Source organism: Homo sapiens, chromosome 3, assembly GCF_000001405.40.
Source record: "Homo sapiens chromosome 3, GRCh38.p14 Primary Assembly".
In the NCBI taxonomy this organism is placed as follows: domain Eukaryota; kingdom Metazoa; phylum Chordata; class Mammalia; order Primates; family Hominidae; genus Homo; species Homo sapiens.
The window spans coordinates 116,467,303-116,472,966 of record NC_000003.12 but is presented as its reverse complement, the minus strand read 5'-3'; positions in this window follow the sequence as shown (position 1 = coordinate 116,472,966).

Genomic DNA, 5,664 nt, shown 5'->3' with positions numbered 1-5,664 from the left:
AATCAACCATGTGAATTGTGGAGAAAGGTTTATGGGAGAACTCGTGGTCCTCTGGTCTTGCTCCAGCAGGTTGGCGGTGAGGTTGGCAAGGTGAATGAGTAATTTGTAAGTGTGTGCTTGATTGATTTAATAAGGAATCAAGTCATTTGTAATGTTGAGGGAAAGCAGACAGACTTATTTCCTATACAGGTGAAAATTTAACTGCCTCCACCCCACCCCACTCTAAATGAAACCTTGTCTTCATTTAGAGTGTTTAAGTGGAAAGAATAGAAACTGGAAACAGGACGCCAAAACTGCTTGTGATTCTAAATATGTGTGTACCATTGGGCAAGTCATTTCTCATTTTAAGGCCGTAGTTTTCATATTCCCCCTTTAGGTACTTTATAAGGATGTATCTGTTTATAACTATATAATTAATGTGTAAAATCTATAAAAGGTGAATATTTCTAAATATTGTCAGTGTAAAAGATGATAATATTAGTAATGCTAATAATGACTCCTCCTGTCTTTTGAGAGTGAACTAATACTCTCAGAATTGACTAAGAATGGATATTGAATAAAATACATAGATAAACTAAAAGAAGACTGCTCTAGACACTACTGTAAAATACTGAAAGAAAGAACTATGGGAAACATTTAAAAAGGGAAAAACGTAGATACCAACGGGATGGAAAGAGGCATGAGTAGAGGGGGGTGTAGAGGGGCAGGAAGGATGCTTGCTGACAACTCTGGAGACAGCTCCTGGCTCTGTCACTCACTGAGTGGCCTAAAACAAGCTGCTGAATCTCTCTCCAACTGGAAGTTCTCATTCTCTAACAAAAAGGTCTTTTATCAAATAAAATTGAAAATGGAACCTGGGTGTATGAAAATTGCTAAAAATCTTGTTTCTTTTGTTGAAAGCTTTCTCAGCATTTTCTTTACTTCCACTTCACATTGTGGTCTTGGGACACATTATTTAAAAATCCAAGAATTTGGAAACTCATAGCTTGAAAACCAGGGAACTGGACGGCATCTAGTATTCTAACTGTACCATTCTTGCTTCTGAGATTCAAACACTCCTAGTGAAATCTGAATTCCTTCGAGAAGGAAATTAAAATAGAAATTAAAGGATGACTCAGGTGGAAAAAGTAACTTATTGTTGACTGAGCTAGTCCAAAAAACAAACATCTAGAAACGATAGTCACCATAAAAGAGAGAAGAGTCCATGGGCAAGCAATGTCCCTCAAATCAATACTATTCTAAGAACATTTGTATAAACAGAGTAGGAAGATGAGCCATTAAAGAGTCTATGAAAATAACTTGTATTGGCAGCCTCAACTCTCCATATTCATTGACATCTAATGCAGGCTGATAAAATTGGCAACTCAGATGGGCTAAACACCCCAATATACCCGAGGAGAGGGTCCACAGGGGTGTAATCTTAGCCAGTTCTCGTTCACACAGCCTACTTTGTTATATTCCTTCCCTTTTTGTCCAATAATTCAGGGAGATTTCTAAAGAGAAATAGCATATGCATTGGCCCACTCCTGAAAAGAGGCAGCTGAACAGACTTCTGACAAGGTTCATTCAATCTTTTGCAAACAAACAGAAAGGAGGGTTTTTGGGGTACAAGATCCACCTGCCTTTCTAATGAAGTCATCAGTTTCTACCAAAGTTTTATGCAAAATGCCACACACACACACACAATTCTTCTACAAGAAAGCTCATACAACTCTTTCCTGAGTTTCAGAATAAGATTACTATTGTTTGGGGTTTTAAAGCTTTGGGGAAATTCTTTATATTTTCACCTTTTCTTTGAGCCTGAAATTTCAATTTCCAAGTTTGAGTTCTCCCAGTGGTCTGTACATGCACTGCCAGATGGGCTATACAGTTGAGAGAGGAAATGGAGAAATGCAGCTTTGGGTGGGAAAACACATTTCTCTGATAGTCTTCTGACAGCTCTCGTCTGTATATCGTTGATGCAGTAACAAGCTCGTGAAGCTTGATGTTGAAATTTTTTTTATCTCAAAAGGAATTTTAAATATTCTGAATTTTTAGAAGTCTATTAATATAAATGTTTCAAGTTTCTATAACACCCACTTTTGTTGGTTTTCAGATCAGATGCTACTCACTAAGGATAGTAAATGAGACATTTGGCTGAAATCTCACTTGGCATGCCTGATGATGTTGGAAAGTCAGCTTATTTTATGGTTAATATCTGAAGGGGCAAAGGATGAGTAAGAGGAAGTGATGTTCTAATATTTTTAGCTCCTTCTTATCCAAGCAACTGAAGACCTCACATCTAACCATTTCTCTTTCATTTTTTTCTGTCTTTCCATCCTTTCATTGTTGTTCTTCTATTGTGCATCCTTACGTGTGTGTGTGTGTGTGTGTGTGTGTGTGTGTGTGTGTTGTGTGGAGAGATGGAGAGATTAAGAAGAAAGGAGTAAGGATTAGGTTTTGAGGGTTTTTTTGCATGTTTGTTTTGTTTTGTTTTTGAGAGAGAGTCTCACTCTGTCACCCAGGCTAAGTGCAGTGGTTCACTGCAATGTTGAACTCCCAGGCTCAAGCGATCCTCCTACCTCAGCCTCCTAAGTAGCTGGGACTACAGTTGTACACCACCATGCCTGGCTAATTTAAAAAAAAAAAGTAGAGACAAGGATCTTGCTATGCTGCCCAGGATGGTCTTGAACTCATGGGCTCAAGTGATCTTCCTGTCTTGGCCTCCCAAAGCGCTTGGATTATAGGCATGAGCCACCACACCTGGCTAGCTTAGAGTTTTAAGGAGAAAAGAGAAGAAATAATTTTAATTTTATTTTTCATTATGTCAAGTCCTTTTCTATGTCCCAGACTGAGCCCCACCTAAAATGAGTATTTAATTTGGATACTTGATACTATACCTCATTAATTTAGAAAGAAAATGATTAAGGAGTGTGTGTGTGTGTGTGTGTGTGTGTGTGTGTGTGTGTAGTGTGTAGGACAGGTCTGTGTGCAGCTACAAAGAAAATGTGTCCCATATAATTATACATGTGTCTCCACAACTATTTTGCTGCTAGTAAAGTTCAGTGCAAGCCCTGTGTTTTGACTCTTGTGTATCTCTCTAAACGATTTCTCCTCCTGATAGCCTTACTCTAGACATACTAAAAAGCTTGCATTACCAAATGAGTAGAACAATGTATAGTTTCCTTCTCACTCCTCTTTCTTCTCAATTTATAAGAAATATATTTCGCTTCATCATCACTTTTACAACGAAGATTTACTTGAAATTATTTGCCCCATTCAGAAACTTTGAGAATACTTAATCAGTTTCAACTTTGTGCCTTCATTCTTCCTTTTGCAAATATCTCAAATGTTTTGCAGCATCTCAAATTTCTAGTGTGCTAATGTGTTAGTTGGCATGATATTTCCTGTTCTGTGAAAGCATAAACTGTGAAAGTAGGAGTATACCTGATTCCTTCTCATATTCCCATCATCTGACCAAGTATCTGGACCTGGAAGTTTTATACACCTATAATATATAAATAACATATTTATTATTATAGTCATATTCCAATATCACTACATATACAGTATTGTGACAAATCTCAATTTTATATAAGGCTCAGAGCATCTAGTTACTTGATGATTATTTGGGTTCTGCCTCTGATATGCTGGATTTTAGGACTGGCTGGCTTTTGAGGGCACTGCTGGGAGGATATAGCAGGGAGGGGAGAGGACCTTCTGGGAAGCCAGAACTTGTGGCAGGGCCACGGAGTCAAGATATGAAGGACGGGCAGGAAAGACTGCTGTACCTCCTGCCTTTGCGGAGCTGGTGTTAGGAATGAGGCCAACCTGAATTTCGAGAAGGGAGCTGGAAAAGGATTTCTGGAAGGGAGCTGCATGGGGATGGTTAAGGCAGTGTTAAGAAAATGAAGCTGTATTTGACATTCATGGTTTAAAGTCATTACTTTACAAAACTATTTTCCTAAGGCCTCTGGACAGATTCTAATGTGATCCAGCAAATGTCTGCTTGGCTCCAAACTAATGGGCATCTGCTAATTTTTCTAACTGTTTTAATCATTGTTGGGGCTTTGCTTTAGAACGTTTCCAAATCTCCTCCTTCTCACTAAAGTCCCAAGCCTTCAAAGTCTATGCCGATTTTAATAAAGGACTAGGAGGATTACCTTACATTCCCACATTTAGCATTCTTATTTAAGATTCCATTCTTTGTCTCACTTAAATATATCATAATGCAGAATAGATATCCTTGAATTTCCAGGAGCCGATGACTTACAAAACGAAAATTCAATCTGAGATTACACATAAGCAAAAAGCAATTTGTGTGTGTGCCTTACACACTACAGTAGGATGTTCTTGAGGACAAGGACTTTTCTTGAAAATTTTCCCCTAGCACTTCGCAGTCTCTGGCTTCTGTTTTTTCCCTTTTGTCAAAGGTAAAAATTCAGGATTTGTTTATTGCTTTCATCTCGAAACCCTCCTAATCAAGAGTGCTTGGTGACTAAATACCGAATGGAAAATTAAGAACAAAAAATTCCAGAAAATGTTTTCAGTACAAATATTAGATAATTTTTAAATTTTCAATTGTTTTTTAATAATCCAATGTGGGGCATAGGGTGTAGAGTGAAGGGGAAGAAATGAAAGAAAAAGATTGTTCAAAAAAAAAAAAGACAAAGGAGTGCAGAGAAGGAAAATTTTCAGAAAAGAAATTAGAGTGAATGTGAGTCAGAAGTGTAGGGAAAGGGAGAGAAAACAAAGTGGAGACAGTGACTGGGGCAAAGTCAGAAACGCACATGCTAAAAAGGGCAAAGACAAGGAGTAACCACCCTAATTTCCCTACTCATCAAAATCTGTCATAATTCAGCCCAGAGAGGCCTGGATTTGCAGCTTAGCTGAAATAACCTTCCACTATCTGTCACTGGAGAAATAGTTGAACTAGATGATTGGTCCTACTTTGTCTTGTTCTCAAAGGTCTCATTCACACATTCCAAAATTGTAGCCTTCTCTAAATAATTTATTTTTAGTCATATAGGAATAGGTGTAACAGTTCAGATATTCCCCAGTAGCAAATCTTCAGGTTACTGAATAGACCATTAACTAAAGCATAACCCATTTAAGATTAGTCCTAAAATTCCAGATCTCTGACGAGTTTAACAAACTATGTATAAATGGATATAAAATATTATCTTTACATAGAGAGAAAGGTAAAGATTTCAAAAAGTTATGAGAAGTTATAGGTACTATTTCTTTAGAATAATACTTAATGGGAAGTGTAGCTACCAGTATTGCTTCTGACAAACAACACTTGGTTCACCCCTAACACTCCAGTACCGGTATTTATGAAAGTTAGGTCCTTATACTTTCCATAAATTTCAGAAACATTAAAATGAAGTACAATGTGATGTCTACAGTAAAGATATACTTCTTAGTTAAACTAAATAAAGAGTAGGACTTTGCTAAATTTGTCTAAATTAAATTGAACTATTTCTACAAACCCCTATGGAATAGTTACCATAATCAAGCACTGTGCTAGTCCCTGTGCATTCAAAGGCAAGCAGCTTATGATTCACATTCTCTTATTTTTTGAGATGGAGTTTCACTCTTGTTGCCCAGGCTGGAGTGCAATGGCACAATCTCGGCCCACTGCAACCTCCACCTCCTGGGTTCAAGCGATTCTCTTGCCTCAGC